This window comes from Homo sapiens, chromosome 16 (genome assembly GCF_000001405.40).
Source record: "Homo sapiens chromosome 16, GRCh38.p14 Primary Assembly".
In the NCBI taxonomy this organism is placed as follows: Eukaryota; Metazoa; Chordata; class Mammalia; order Primates; family Hominidae; genus Homo; species Homo sapiens.
Genome location: NC_000016.10, coordinates 27053538 through 27069631, shown reverse-complemented (window position 1 = coordinate 27069631; position 16094 = coordinate 27053538). Strand labels below are relative to the sequence as shown.

The 16094-nt window shown below is 49.9% G+C and overlaps 1 protein-coding gene and 1 long non-coding RNA gene across 2 annotated transcripts; one reads left to right on the top strand and one right to left on the bottom strand.

The window, feature by feature from the left end:
- Positions 1-465: 465 nt before the first annotated feature.
- Positions 466-2705, bottom strand: C16orf82 (chromosome 16 open reading frame 82). The gene has a single exon (NM_001145545.2). The coding sequence runs from the start codon at positions 2634-2636 to the stop codon at positions 2172-2174; it is 465 nt and encodes a 154-aa protein (NP_001139017.1). The 5' UTR covers positions 2637-2705; the 3' UTR covers positions 466-2171.
- A 4189-nt stretch (positions 2706-6894) lies between these two features.
- LOC105371154 (uncharacterized) lies at positions 6895-7648 on the top strand. Its single transcript, XR_950954.2, has 3 exons — positions 6895-6917; positions 7103-7321; positions 7427-7648. It is a non-coding gene; the product is annotated as an uncharacterized LOC105371154 (long non-coding RNA).
- Positions 7649-16094: the final 8446 nt, after the last annotated feature.

Here is a 16094-nt window from a genome sequence, read left to right as displayed (position 1 = left end):
GGGAGGAGGGAGAAGATCAGGAAAAATAACTAATGGATACTACACTTAATGCCTGGGTTATAAAATAATCTGTATAACAAACCCCCATGACACACATTCTCCTCTGTAACAAACCTGCACATCCTGTACATGTGCCCCTGAACTTAAAAGTTAAAAAATAAAAAGGAAAAAAAAAAGAAAAGGGAAAGAAATACATTACATTAGTACTTATCCCTTGCTGGGTACTTGATATACATTTTCATGTAATCCACATAACCATCCTATGTATGAAATAGGGGTTACTGTCCCCATTTCCCAGATGAGGAAACTGAGGCTCTGAAAGTTTAACTATTTTGCCCAGATGGCCAGCACAGCAGTGGCAGAGTTGGTAGCCATGCCCAACTCTCTCCATGGTTCTTTAGTGTGTTTGTGGCCCACCCCTCCTGTGAGCTCGGCCGGGAACGCACACACAGACCCACACACATATGACCTCTCTAGACACCTTTTATTGTCTTTGCTGCCCCCTCAGCTTTCCTTCTGGTACCTAGTGGATGTCTTCACGACAGTCTCTGGCCTCTTTTCCTTTGTGGGCAGACTCACTTCAATGTCTGTGAGGTCAACCCAGGGAGGGGGTTTAGTGCCTCCAGTAAGAGACGGGCAGAGACTTCGGCTTTCCCATCCACCGAGACGGTGCTCACAAAATGCTCCAGAGCTTCCCCATCGCAGCTGTTCCCGGCTGGGTTGGGCTCTGTCACCATGAAGTGCTTCTCACGGCATTGTCCTGCCATCGTAGTCACTGTCTCAACCATCTGAACACAGGATGGCTCCTGGCCTCCTTTCTTGACATGAATGAGGCATCAGGAAGCCTTTGCTCCTGAGAAGATTCTGGGCTGAAGATGTCCAGAGACAGCACTCAAAGGAAAAAAAAAAAAAAAAGGACGCTTGGAGCTCTCTGGGATGGTGCCTCCCAAGTAGTTGGGATTACAGGTGCCCAGGCATGGGGATCCATTTACACCGCCCTCTAATGTTCTCACTAGACCTAGTCCCTGTGTGCCGGGGGCATCCCTGGCTGCTCCTGATGATCCTTCTCTGGTGACAGTCACTTAGTCTGGACTCCTTGGGGGAGCTGAGAGTCGTGAAGGTGCTCCGTGTGCACCGTGGCTGTCTTGCTAGTGCTTCTGCGGGCAGTGACAATGATGGACAGAGTGTGGTGCTGCTTGGCCAGGATGAAGTTTCATGTGGATGTGGCTCTCCACGCATGGCGCTCACTGCAGATGGTTCTTGATATGGACAGTCCCAACCATGGTTGCAGCTTGTTTCTTCTGAGCTCATCGTGGCTGGTGTTGGTTGCAGATGGCATTCATCATTTAGGATGGTTTCATCATGGAAGGTTCTAACTCGTGACAGTTCTTAATATCGTCAGCGTTTGCCATCGAGAACATCTGTCGCCACTGATGAGTTTTGGTACAGGGGGTCCCACCAGGATGCTGCTGACTACAGATGGTTTTGCCATTGATGGATCTTGTTATAGATGGCTTGTCACTGAAGTTCACAGTCGATGTCATTACTCTTCGCTGTTTTGACACAGGTGGACTCAGCATTGGTGAATCTTGATACTACAGCTCTTCCTAGCAACAGTGGTTCTCAGTATAGACAGTCTCCTCACTGACTGTGTTCTCAGGATAGGCGGTGCTCAGCATAGATCCTTCCTGCTACATGTGGCCTGCCCACTGATGCTTGTTGCTACAAATGGGATTACCCACTGATGGTTGACACAGTCAGTGTGTGCTTTTGAAAACACCTTTCCTACTTGTTTTGGGAATATCCACTCTGGGTGCAGCCTGTGTTTGCTGGGCCTGTGTGTTGTTTTCTGGGAGACTCTGGCTGCTGGAGAGGATTCTCACAAAGGCATGCACACCTGGGCAGGCTGCTCCCCCGTGGTGACCTGCTCACTGGTTTTCACGTTGCCGCCCGTCTTGTCCTCCTGCACGCTGGTGTGGCTGCTCTGCCTGTTTTGGGCACTGCCATCCAGCCGGACGCTCTGACGGCTGCTGGCCTGGGTGGAGGGAAGGCTGGCTGTGGAAGTCAGCAGCCCGCTGCTCACCTTGTAGGTGAGGGCACTGCTGCCCAAGCTGATGAAGCTGGCGCTGGACAGGATGCTGCTGCCGCTGCCGCTGCCGGGCAGGCTGGCCTCACTCTTTCCCTCCAGTCTGCTTGGTGCTGTGGGCGGGGCCAGTCAGCCGGCTCTTTAGAGAGCTGGGAGGGTCTATGGAGCCCAGCTGGCTGGTTTGGTTACTGGCCGCCTGGGTGTTGAGCCTTCTGTTCAGCCGCACTCTCCGGTGGCTGCCCACCAAGCTGATGTCGCTGCCCTCCTTGTCCCCTGCGTACCCGCTGCTCAGGCTGGCATGGCTGCCCTCCTCTGGCCTCGGGTGCTGCACGCTGGAAACATGACTCTCGCTGCTCTGGGTGTCACTGAGGTAGCTGCTGGACACTTTCAGGGGCTCCTGAGCCACTCCTGCATGGCGTGGCCACGCAGGGGACTGGAGCTCTAAGCTGGGTGACTGTAGGCTTGGCTCTCCTTCCTGCTCATTCTGGACAGAGGATTCCCCTTTTTCTCCCTCGAGAAAAATGGGGGGCAGCTGAAGTGGTTTATCCAGGGAGAGGGGGCCCTGGGAGGCCTCTGAATGTTGGCTGTGACCTCTCTGGGGAGAGGTGACTCCGTATATAAGGCTGCCCTTTGAAAACTCTGTGTTCTGAGTGGCTGGCTCAGTTCCCATGGTGATGGGGCTTGTGAGGTGAAGGCGGGTGTGGGAGGGAGAACAATGCTGTCCTGGCACCAGTGACATCAGTGGCCTGGCCTGGAGGGTAGGAGTGGGGCAGAAAGGGGCTCATGGCCAGAGGGGGTGGGTGTCACCCTCTCGGGAGCCTTTCTGAGGAGTCTGTGGCCAGACATCAGGTCAGGGGCCTCAGGCGTGTGTCCCAGCCGAGATCCTATGAGCCGAGTTTCTTCTCTCCCAAGTCTCTGCCTGCTTGCTGAGTGTTTCATTTTTTTATTTTTATTTATTTTTTATTTTCTGTTTGTTTGTTTTTTGAGATGGAGTCTCACTCTGTCATCCAGGCCGGAGTACAGTAGTGAGATCTGGGCTCACTCCAAGCTCTGCCTCCCGGGTTCAAGCGATTCTCCTGCCTCAGCCTCACAAGTAGCTGGGATTACAGGCGCCCGCCACCATGCCTGGCTAATTTTTGTATTTTTAGTAGAGATGGGGTTTCACCATGTTGCCTAGGATGATCTTCAACTCCTGACCTGGAGCTATCTGCTCGCCTCGGCCTCCCAAAGTGCTGGGATTATAGGCGTAAGCCACCGCACCCGGCCTGCTGAGTGGTTTTGAGGACAGGAGGGAATACAGCAGGCCGGATCATCAAGGCCCTGGCCTGGTCTGGCTCTCCCAACTTCATCACACACCACGCCCTGCCCCTTTCTCACCTTGGATGCTTGACCAGGCTGAGCACTCTCTTATTGCAAAAGGGACTCACAGCTGGATGCCCTGGACCCCAACACTATGAAACTGGGTTTCTGAGAAAAGCTTTTTATTGCAAGTTGGCTCAGAAGGAGGCAGGAGTCAGCTCAAATCTCTCTCCCTGTGCTGGCTTTAAGGCAGTAGTTTTATTAGAAAAGGTTTAGGGAGTGGATTCTGAGATTAGTAGGTTATTGGTGCAAGGAGAAGTGAGGTCTGCAAAGACCTTTGGCATGTGCAGTTACCTCTTCATGCCTCCTCATGGGTCCCATGTGCAAATTTGGAGGGAGTGAGTGTGAAACATGCAGTGGAAATTCAGGCTGTGACATCAGCAAGCTGGTCTTGCACTAACTCCAGTTGGCCATATTGCTTCCAGCTGATTGCAGCTGGTTTTGTTATAAGTGAAAGGAGTTTCAAATTGTTTCTTTTTTTATTTGCCTTCCTGCAAATTCAAGAATTTCTGTTAGTGGTTTCTTTAGCTCTTTGGAGCATGGTCTCATGATTTCATGATTTGATGCTCTTACCTGCTGCAGGGCCTTGGCACTGGCTGTTTTCACCCCTCAGGGTGCTTTTTTCCCCTCTGGCATCCTCTTTTTTTTTTGAGACAGAGTGATCTCGGCTCACTGCAAGCTCCACTCTTGTTACCCAGGCTGGAGTGCAATGGCATGCCTCCCTGCCTCAGCCTCCCGAGTGGCTGAGATTACAGGCATGCGCCACCACGCCCAGCTAATTTTGTATTTTCAGTAGAGACGATTTCTCCATGTTGGTCAGGCTGGTCTCAAACTCCCGACCTCAGGTGATCCGCCCGCCTCAGTCTCCCAAAGTGCTGGGATTACAGCCTGGCCTCCCCCACTCCCACTTTTTTTTTTGAGACAGAGTCTCACTCTGTTGCCCAGGCTGGAGTGCAATGGCATAATTTCCACTCACTGCAACCTCCGCCTCCCAGGTTCAAGCAATTCTCCTGCCTCAGCCTCCTGAGTAGTTGGGATTATGGGCATGTGCCACCTCAGCCAGATAATCTTTGTATTTTTAGTAGAGATGGAATTTCACCATGTTGGCCAGGCTGGTCTCGAACTTGCCTCGGCCTCCTGAAGTGCTGGGATTACAGGCGTGAGGCACTGCACCTGGCCCCTGCTGTCATCCTTTATGCCACTTCCTAATTGATGTTCCTTGTGACATGAATGAATTATGTACTGGTTATTTATTGCCAGGTCCTCAGCCAGAATATAAACTTAATGAGGGCAGAGATTCTGATTTCTTATTCTCTGCTCTGCCCTCAAGGCCCAGCACACTGCCTGATGCTCACTAGACGTTGATTTAGTGAATAAATGAATGACCCCGAGGTGTGCATCACCACCTAGGGAACTTCTAAAAAACATGTTTTAATTTTCTTTTTTTTTCACTTGAAAATAATTTTTTTTTATAGCAACGGAGTCTTGCTGTGTTGCCCAGGCTGGCCTCAGATGCCTGGCCTCAAGTAGTCCTCCTTGCCTTGGCCTCCCAAAGTGCAGGGATGACAAGTAGGAGCTGCTGCATCTGACCAAGATTTTCTAAGACAGTGGTTTTTGCCCTTGGCTACATACTGGATTCGCCTGGGGATGCCTGGGTTCCACCCCCAGAGGTACAGAGTTAATTGGCCTAAGGTGAGGCTTTGGCAATAGAATTTTAAAAAGCTCTCCAGGTAATTCTAACGTGCAGTCAGCGTTGAAAATTGTGCTACCTTGGCCACAGGTGATGTTTTTGTAGATGATTCTGATGTTCAACCCTGACAAAGAAGTTAACTACAGATGAAAACACTCAGCATGCCACTTATTAGTAGACATCATAGATGTTTATTGAGTGATGGAATAAATTAATATATTCATTGACCCCTAAAGAGTTCATGTGTGGATTTTTAAAACCTTGAGAAGTCATTGAAATTGTACACAAAATCTGCAATGAGCTACACGTATGCTTTCTTTCCCCTAGGCAGGGAGTCATAGCATCCATAAAATTCCCAAGGGTATCCACGATCCCCAAAAGATCAAGAAGCGTAAAGATCAGGCACAACTCCTGCCTCAGTGCAAGACGGGTGGTCCCGGTGCTTAGCCTGACCCTAAGAGGTCTGGCCTGCCCTGTTTGGGGTGCGGGGTGAGAGAAGAAGGAGGGCGTTGCTCAGAGAGAGCGCTGCTAAGTCCCTTGACAGTCATCATCACCATCATTGCTAATCATCACTGTCATCGTTGTCATGAATTCCTTTCCCACTGCCCAGGGCAGCGCGGCATCCCTTTGCTGCACGCAGCAGCATCCCTTTTGCTCTGAAAATTGTGATCCTTTAGGGGTGAGTGGGGCATCTCCTTGCTGTCTAACTTCTATCCCCAGCCCTATGCTCCCCATGAGGACCGGCAAGGAAGAGACAGGCACAGTGGCTTAGTGGCGATGTTCAGAGTGAAGGGTGTGGTGGGAGCCAACTATTATGGGAAGCAGGAACAAGGTCTGGCCCTTTAGGGGACTGGCTGGTGAGAGGCAGGAGGTTGGGCCCCAGGCAGGTAGGCTGGGACTCAGGACTGGCTCTGTCCCTGCACAAAACCAAAAGAGGGCAGATACCCCAGTGCTGGGATTAATGATGAGCCTGTTGGAACACATCTTTCCTCCTCTTGTCTTCCGCCTCACCTGCTCTGGGCACATTACATTACAGGCCTGAGGACTGCAGTGAACACTCGGGCTTGTTCAGGATAAATGGCAGAGGCCATGCAGTAATCAGAGTTCCCTTCCCATCGAGTGCATTGAACACCAAGACTGTAGCCTGCGGATACAGTGACGCCTTGTAAACAGCCATGGCTCAGCTTAGCGTTTACCTTTTTTTTTTTGGAGATGGAGTTTTGCTCTTGTTGCCCAGACTGGAGTGCAGTGGCACGATCTCAGCTCACTGCAACCTCTGCCTCCTGGTTTCGAGCGATTCTCCTGCCTCACCCTCCGGAGTAGATGGGATTACAGGCATGCACCATCATGCTCGGCTAATTTTGTATTTTTAGTAGAGATGGGGTTTCTCCATGTTGGTCAGGCTGATCTCAAACTCCCGACCTCAGGTGATCCACCTACCTTGGCCTCCCAAAGTGCTGGGATTACAGGCGTGAGCCACCATGCCTGGCCCAGCGTTTACCTTTTAAGTCTCTGTGGGTTACTCTGGTAGTCTTGGGGAAGGCATTTCATGGAGCTTCTGTGGTTTCATTCCAGGCTTCTCATTTCTGCCTCACCTGTGCAGCCACCTGAGGGCAGTGCTCTTACTTGGTCCCCGCCCTAGCTGCCCTTGTGCATAAGACCAGAGCTGTCCTGCCCAGGCATTGCTTCCAGCGACCTCCAGAGACGCAGGTCCTCAAGGCTCACATGGAGCAGCATCCTTCTGAGCTCAGAGTACCAAACCCCCGAAAGATCCAGGGAGAAGTGGGTAGAAGACATTTTCTACAGTGGGACCTGGCGTCTCATTCTGGAACTATGCTGTGGGCTGCCTTTCCTGTCCCCAGTCCCTTGTTGTTTGCCCCCAAGAAACCCTCCTCTCAGCCAAACACACATTTCAGCCTCTGTCTCCAGGTTCCCTTTCTCTCATGCATGTCAATTTCTTCACCCAGGAGACTGGCACCCACCGGACCAGCAGCTTAGCCGATAGAGCCGGACTCAGAGTTCCAGGCAAGGCTCTCACAGGAAACCTGGTTATAATCATATCGTCTGTGGCTCCTGGAGACCAAGTGTCCCATCCTTCCTTGGTGTGGCACAGACAATGCTATATGCTCATGAGACCATCTCATTTCTCTTCTGGGCTTGTAGGAAAAGTACATTTCCAACTCCATGTAGGTAGGGCTAATAGAATGTGGGCAGAAGGGATGTTTACTACCTAGGCTTGGGCCATTAAATATCTCCCATGCATGGTCCTTCTCTTTCTTCCCTTTCCATAGGGACCTTGAAAGCTGTTCTTTGGACCCAGCAAAGCCCCACCGTGGTTGGAACGTGGGTCTCTGAGTGACTGCGTGGAGAAGAACCACTACCCTCTGCCCAATGTATTGGTGACATCAGTGAGCTGTAAACTGTTATTGGACTAAGCCATCAAGATTTGGGCGTTTGTTTGTTACCACAGCAACACCTGCTTTGCACGGACTAATACATCATGTTCACAGACACTGCTGATGTGTTTCACCAGATTTAGTTTTCTCCTGATGGTTTCTGCAGCGGGTTCTGGAGCTGTGTTCCTACCTCAATACCTACCCTAGCATCAAAGTCCCTGGTGGGAAAGCAATGCTTTCTCACATTATGAAGATGGAAAAGAATATCGTCAGGGAGAACATCACCAGCCCAGAAAATTGGCTGTCAGCTCCAGGCCTCCAACCCTTATATTTATTCCTGGGAAACCCTTGCTAAGTTAGGCATTGATTCTCTGCATGTGACACGCCATAATAACTTCTAACTTGGAGAGTTGGCTTGTTTTCACTCATTCATTCAACAAATGTTTCCTGAACTCATATTCTGTCTGGGCTTCCACCAATATTGATTGGGATCCTGCTCTGTGTTAGGCAGTGTTCAGCCCTGCCCTCAGAGAGCTTCCATGCATGGAGGGAGACAGACAGAAGGAAGTAGGACGTGTTGTGTGATAATCAATGTTAGGGGCAAATAAAGCAGAGCCGGGGAGTAGAGAATGATGGCGAGTGTGTGCATGTGTGTGTGTGTGTGTGTGTGTGTACCCACAGGGACACCGTCCCTCAATCAAAACCAGCAAATGCCAGGGGAGGAGGTCACTGAGGGAGCCCTGGGGAGGGTGGGCCCTGTGGGCCGTGGAAAGGGCTCTGCATTTTACTCTGAGTGCATTAGGAGCCACGGGAGAGTTTTCAGCAGGGAGTGAGATGAGTGGATTGGAGTTTGAACAGACTGCTGTGTAAAGAACAGGAGGCTCCTGTAATCCCAGCACTTCGGGAGGCTGAGGTGGGTGGATCACTTGAGGCCAGGAATTTGAGACCAGCCTGGCCAACATGGTGAAACCTTGTCTTTACTAAAAATACAAAAAAATTAGCCAGTCGTGGTGGTGCGTGCCTGTAGTCCCAGTTACTCGGGAGGCTGAGGCACGAGAATCGCTTGAACCTGGGAGAAGGTTGCAGTCAGCCGAGATCGCGCCACTGCACTGCACTCTAGTCTGGGCAACAGAGTGGGACTCTGTCAAAAAACAAAAACAAAAAACAAACAAACAAACAAAAAACAGGAAGGCAGGGAGGTGCGGGGCTTGAGTCTGCCTGGCACCATAGCCTAGGGGTGCGATGGGGATGGCTTGGGCCAGGGCAGAGCAGTAGAGATGGAGAAGCTAGTTGGATTCTGGAAATATTTTGAAGGGAGAGTGTCAGGATTTGCTGAGGGATTGCATGGGGAATGAGAGGAAGCAAGGGCTCAAGGCCAGCTGTGGGGTCCACGAGGCCCAGAGTCAGAGGCTGCATGGGCTTCCGGAAATGGCTCAGCCTCCTCTTGGTCTGGAGCACGTGGGGGAGTGCGTGGGTGGGAGGAGGCGCAGAGAAGTCAGACCCACTCAGGCTCCAGTCTCAGCCTTTGGAACTGTGCTTAACACCACCGCAAATAGGTGGGAGGATTGAATGCTCCACAAACATGAATTGAGAATAAATAAATGGGAGGTGGCCTTTTGGACTCTGGAGAACAGCCACGGAGAAGACAGACAAGCCCTTCCTTCTTGGGCCTTAGTTTAGATTGGGGACAAACAGACTGGGGACAGATTTCAGAGAGTGAGAAGTGCTGCAGATAAAATAAAATGAGGGAGGGGAGGAAGAGGGAGGGTAGACAGAGCAGGCACAGTGCTCCGGAGTTAGGATAACTGCCCCTTGCCATCTTAGAGTATAGCCAGAGAAAGGACTCTGGCCTGCCGTGGTTCAAATCCTGTGACCACCACCGAGGTGACATTGCGTGATCCACTTAACCTCTCTGAACCATAGCTATTCCTCCTTGGAAATGGAGGAATGATCGTGATAATGTCACTCTGCAAGGGGATGCTCTGAGCACCAACGGGACGCACCCAAGACAGGGCCTGCCCCGAAGCGGGCCTGCAGGGTGCTGCCCGACCCTAATGGAACCTTCTGCTTTAAAAGAGACTATACATGTATGTATGTGTGTATACGAATACATATATTAGTACATGTGACTGTATACACAAGTATATATGTATATATGTGAGTGCATACAGAAGTATATGCATGAATACGTGTATAAGCATATATACATGAATATACACACAAATACACATATGTGTACTTTTTTTTTGAGACAGGGTCTAGCTGTGTCACCCAGGCTAGAGTGCAGTGGCGGGACCTTGGCTTACTGCAACCTCCCTCTTCTGGACTCAGGCAATCCTCCCACTCAGCCTCCCAAGTAGCTGGGACTATAGCAGTGTGCCAGCAGGCCTGGCTATTTTTTTTTTTATTCTTTGTAGAGATGAGATATTGCTATGTTGCCCAGGCTGGTCTTGAACTCTTGAGCTCAAGCAATCTGTCTGCCTTGGCCTCGCAAAGTGCTGGGATTACAGGTGTGAGCCAGTGTGCTCTGCCTCACATATATGTACTTTATTATTATTTTTTTTGAGACGGGGTCTCATCTCTGTCACCCAGGCTGAAGTGCAGTGGCTCAATCTCATCTCACTGCAACCTCCATCTCGCGGGTTCAAGCGATTCTCCTGCCTCAGCCTCCTGAGTAGCTGGGATTACAGGCATGCGCCATCATGCCTGGCTAATTTTTGTATATTTAGTAGAGACAGGCTTCACCATATTGGCCAGGCTGGTCTTGAATTCCTGACCTCAGGTGATCCACCCGCCTCAGCCTTCCAAAGTGCTGGGATTACAGGCATGAGCCATCGTGCCCGGCCACATATATGTACTTTTAAATCACAAAACCCTCTTGCCCTCAGCATCCCCCACTGGGGCCCTACTCTTCCCCAAGGGTCTCCCCACAGAGTGCTCTTATCTGAGCCTCCCCTGCCATCCTTTGATGGATACCTCTATCTTTTCCCAGGATTCCTCGTTGTCAAGCTCCTATCTGGATAAGGACTCTCACTTGTTCACTTTAGAGAGTCCCTGAGCACCTACTAGGTCCTCACTTGCAGGGTGGTCAGTGCTCTGCTAAGAAGAGTCTTGACCGGGCGCGGTGGCTCACGCCTGTAATCCCAGCACTTTGGGAGGCCGAGGTGGGTGGATCACGAGTTCAAGAGATTGAGACCATCCTGGCCAACATGGTGAAAACCCATCTCTACTAAAAATACAAAAATTACCTGGGGATGGTGGCACACGCCTGTAGTCCCAGTTACTTGGGACGCTGAGGCAGGAGAATCGCTAGAACCTGGGAGGCAGTGGTTGCAATGAGCTGAGATTGTGCCTCTGCACTCCACCCTGGCGACAGACAGAGATTTCACCTCAACATAAAAAAATAAAAATAAAAAAGAAGAGTCTCATGCACAATGGGTTGGCACCTGACTGGTGCTAGAACGCAGGCCCCTGACTACCAGCCTGGGGGTTCCTCCCTGCATGGGAGCTGGAGCAGTAGAGTAGAGTGACTGTTTCTGCAGGGCTGGCTGTGAGTCAGGCACTGTGCCAAATGCCTGCATGCGTGGTCTCATCCTCACAATCGCTTTATGAAGCAGCTTCTCTGGGCATCTCCATGTCTGCCAGCTGTCTGCCCTAAGCCCATGCTCCTAATGAGTTGACTGGGCTGCAAGACAGGGCTGGTCATGGGGGCAGTGAGAGTCATTCCTGGGGGGCCCAGAGTTGTGGGTACCTCCCTACTCAGGCCCATTTAGCATGCAATCAAGAACAGGAGGACTCTTGGGTGGACCTGGCACTCCCTGAAGTCAGAACCTGGGACTGTATGCCTTCTCTAGAGAGAAACAGCTCAGCCATGGCTTGGAAGAGTGATCTGTCCAGGAAGAAAGGTCATTCCTCCTCTGGGTGGCCATGTGATTGATTTTTTGCTCCAATTTTTGATTACTTAGGAAATACCAAAAAAGAAAAAAGGGAACGATAAAACTCATCTCTCACCATTCACTGGAAGAGATAGGATACTACTGGTCTGCCCAAGATCCATTTACCCCTTCATATCACCTCTCCTTATGGCAACCCTGAATGTAATGTTCACCATTGCCATGAACATCTTTATACTTGAAATATAAAAGGATATAACCCAGCCAGGCACGGTGGCTCACGCCTGTAATCCCAGCACTTTGAAGGCCGAGGTGGGTGGATCAACTGAGGTCAGGAGTTCGAGACCAGCCTGGCCAACATGGTGAAACACCATCTCTACTAAAAATACAAAAATCAGCAAGGCGTGGTGACACATGCCTGTTGTCCCAGCTACTTGGGAGGTTGAGGCACAAGAATTGCTTGAACCTGGGAGGCAGAGGTTGCAGTGAGCTGAGATTGCACCACTGCACTCTAGCCTGGGCCACAGAGCCACTGCACTCTAGCCTGGGCCACAGAGCAAGACTCTGTCTCAAAACAAACAAACAAACAAACAAACAAACAAACAAAAATAAAACACAAAGACCAATGTAACCCTAAGCCTACACATAGTTGTTCTGTGTGCTGTTAATCTTGACATAGGCCAGGTGCGGTGGCTCATGCCTGTAATCCCAACACTTTGGGAGGCTGAGGCGGGTGGATCACTGGAGGTCAGGAGTTCGAGACCAGCCTGGCCAACATGGTGAAATCCCATTTCTACTAAAAATACAAAAATTAGCTGGGTGTGGTGATGGGCACCTGTAGTCCTAGCTACTGGGGAGGCTGAGGCAGGAGAATCGCTTGAACCCGGGAGGTGGAGGTTGCAGTGAGCCCAGATAGCACCACTGCACTCCAACCTGAGTGATAGAGCTAGACTCTGTCTCAAAAAAATAAAACCATCTTGACATAAATGGCGTCCTTTATCTATCCTCCTATAATTTATGTTCTATGTTATATTTGTGATACACACTTGTGCTTATATGTGTAGTTCAAGTTCATTTTCACTACTGTAGCATATTCTATGGATGGATGTCATAATTTACCCATTCTATTAATGGCTATCTTCCTTGAAATGAACATTCCTTTAAGTGTCTCCTTCATATGACATTTCTCCTGAGGATTTCTCAGAAAATTCCCCCAAACAGACTATGAAAGCTTCAACTTTTTATTTATTTATTATCGCAGTGGAGGCTCTTAGGATTTAACTTGTTTTAGTTGCACATAACATATATAAAAGACACTTCTCTGCATCCCTTGGGACCTGTTCTCTGAGTGTGTGTATGAGGTTCAATTTAGGGATGGGGTAAATCAGAGGCATATCTGTCGTCTATGTTATTTGGTCATAAAACACGGCCATTCCAGAATGTCATGGACAGGTTCTTCATCTTTAACTTTAAACTTCAGCTGAAGATGAAGTCACAGAGTTAACCCACTTGAGTAGGGTAAGGAGTCAGGGGAGCAGGATCTTGGAGGAGGCTGGGGTGGCTGAATGGTGGTGAGTCTTTCCGAGGGCTGAGTGCCACCAGGAATGCACCCCTCCTTCTGTTCAGGCCTCCTCATGCAGCTTTGTGTGGCCTGCAAAACAATTGTCTGGTATTCTTAGTTGTGGACTCCTTGTGTGATGGATGGGGATGGGAAGTGTATTAGTCTGTGTCCACACTACTGATAAAGACATACCTGAGACTGTGAAGAAAAAGAGGTTTAATTGGACTTACAGTTCCACATGGCTGGAGAGGCCTCAGAATCATGGCAGGAGGAGAAAGTCACTTCTTACATGGTGGTGGCAAGAGAAAAATGAGAAAGAAGCAAAAGTGGGAACCCCTGATAAACCCATCAGATCTCGTGAGATTTATTCACTATCATGAGAATAGCATGGGAAAGGCCAGCCCCCATGATTCAATTACCTCCCCCTGGGTTCCTCCCACTCCACGTGAGAATTCTGGGAGCTACAATTCAAGTTGAGATTTGGGTGGGGACACAGCCAAACCCTATCAGGAATGGAGGATGCAGGAGAAAGCTGCCTGAGCAGTGAGGAGGCCGTGAGTTTTCTCTAGGTCAAGGTGAGAACTGCAGAGCAAAGTGATTAAGCACTTGGTATATGAAGTCAGATGTCTGAGTTCAAATCCAGGATCTGCCATGTATTCGCCATGTGATCTTGGGCAAGTGACCTAACCTTTCTCAGTCTGGGTTTCCTCAAAAGCAGACCATAAAACATGGACTTGGGTACCAGTCATTTATTTGGGAGGTGACCTCAAGATGCCCAGGTGAGTATATAGGCAGCAAGACCAGAAAAAAAGGACAGCTGGTGAGGGGGCCTTAAGGAGGAAGTGGGGTCTCTGCGAAGTGGTGTGGCTGCACCCCAGAAGCTTGGACATTTAGCCATTGCTGCCATCCCCACTGGGGCATCTATTGCACCTCTGGCTTCTCTCTGAGCTGGGCTGGGAAAACTTCCGTGTGGCCAGAGAAAGCCCTGGGGTGAAGGAGAGACAGTCCAGAGGCAGACACAGTGCTGAGTGAGAAGCCATCTGCCAGCACACCAGGTCCCGTCTGTACCTGAGGCCAACTCCGGAGTGTGGAGAGGACATGGGTGGGGGCATCAGTGGAGGCTGCTGGTGCCTCGTCTGTAAAAGCGACAGCAGCTGCTCCATAGGTTGTAGCAAGGGTAACATGAGGTCAGTCCTGGCATACAGTAAGCACTCAGTGAATGCTAAATGTGCCCCCAAGGCTGTGGTAGGACCTGTTTGAAGAAATGGAAGCTTGGAGAGATAATGTAACATAGACCTGGTCACAGAACTATGAGATGACAAGGCTACGATTTAGACCCAAAGTTTGTGGGACCCCAAGGACACCAGGCCTTCTCAGAGAATATCGTGGGTCACACTCCAGGGGGCTTCAAGCTGCAGGGCCCAGAGATGTTAACACTCCTGGAGCTGGATGCAGCGTGGCTGTTTGCCTCGTTGGCCTCAGGCAGGGCACAACTACTGACCTGGAGTCTCAGGAGAGAACCAGAAGTAGACCAGTGCCCCGGCCAGGCCAGGAATCTCCTCTTGCCAGCAGAGGGCACGAAGCACAGAACAGGCAGGGCAGGGCAGTAACCACTTAGGAGCAAGTGAATTTCTCAGAGATCCTGGGCGCGTTTAGGGTGGTAGAGAAAAGAGAATGCTCATACACTGCTGGTGGGAATGTAAATCAGTTCGACCACTGTGGAAAGCAGTCTGGCAATTTCTCAAATAACTTAAAAAGTACTACCATTCGATCCAGCAATCCCATTACTGGGTATACACCCAAAGCAATATAAATCGTTCTATTATAAAGACACATCCATGCATATATTCATTGCAGCACTATTCACAATAGCAAAGACATGGAATCAACCTAAATGCCCATCAATGGTGGATTGGATAATGAAAATGTGGTACATATATACCATGGAATACTATACAGCCATAAAAAAGAATGAGATCATGTCCTTTGTAGCAACATGGATGGAGCTGGAGACCATTATCCTAAGCAAACTAACACAGGAACATAAAATTAAATACCACATATTCTCACTTATAAGTGGGAGCTAAGCATTGAGAATACATGGACACAAAGAGGGGAACAACAGACCCCCGGCCTACTTGAGGGTGGAGAGTGGGAGGAGGAAGAGGATTGACAAACCATCTATAGGGTCCTATGCTCATTACCCAGGTGATGAAATAATCTGTACAACAAACCTGCACATGTATCCTCTGAACCTAAAATTAAAGTTAGAAAATAAAATAAAATGTGATTATGACTAAAACAAAAAAATTTCTCAATTCAGCACATGACCAAGGAGGCTTCTGGAATGTGGAATTTTCAGTTTTAAAATCAGACACTTCTGAGCAAACCAAAATGAGTTGGTTACCCTCATGTGAGTATGTAGTCAAAGGATGAAAAAAATGTCCTTTTTCAGATGCCCTAGAATACCAACATTTGTTTTTTGTTTTTTTTTTTTTTGAGACAGGGTCTTGCTCTGTGGCTTAAGCTGGAGTGCAGTGGTGTGATCACAGCTCACTGCAGCCTCAAATTCCTGGGCCCAGGCAAGCGATCCTCCTGCCTCAGCCTCCGGAGTAGTTAAGACTACAGGCTTGCGCCACTGTGCCTGGCCCTGCCTTGGGCTTAAGTCCTTGGTGGTGGAACCTGGGAGGGGGTGGGGGGCTCACAGGCTTTTGTCCCTGGCAGGTGTTGCCATAGGCTTCTTCTTTTTTTCTTTTTCTTTTCTTTTTTTTTTTTTTTTGAGACGGAGTCTCGCTCTGTCGCCCAGGCTGGAGTGCAGTGGCACAATCTCGGCTCACTGCAAGCTCTGCCTCCCGGGTTCACACCATTCTCCCGCCTCAGCCTCCAGAGTAGCTGGAACTACAGGCACCCGCCAGCACACCCAGCTAATTTTTTGTATTTTTATTAGAGACGGGTTTCACCATGTCAGCCAGGATGGTATCGATCTGCTGACCTTGTGATCCGCCCACCTCGGCCTCCCAAAGTGCTGGGATTACAGGCGTGAGCCACCGTGCCGGGCCGCCATAGGCTCCTTCTTACAGACTCTGGGGTCAGATGTAGGCTCTGCCTC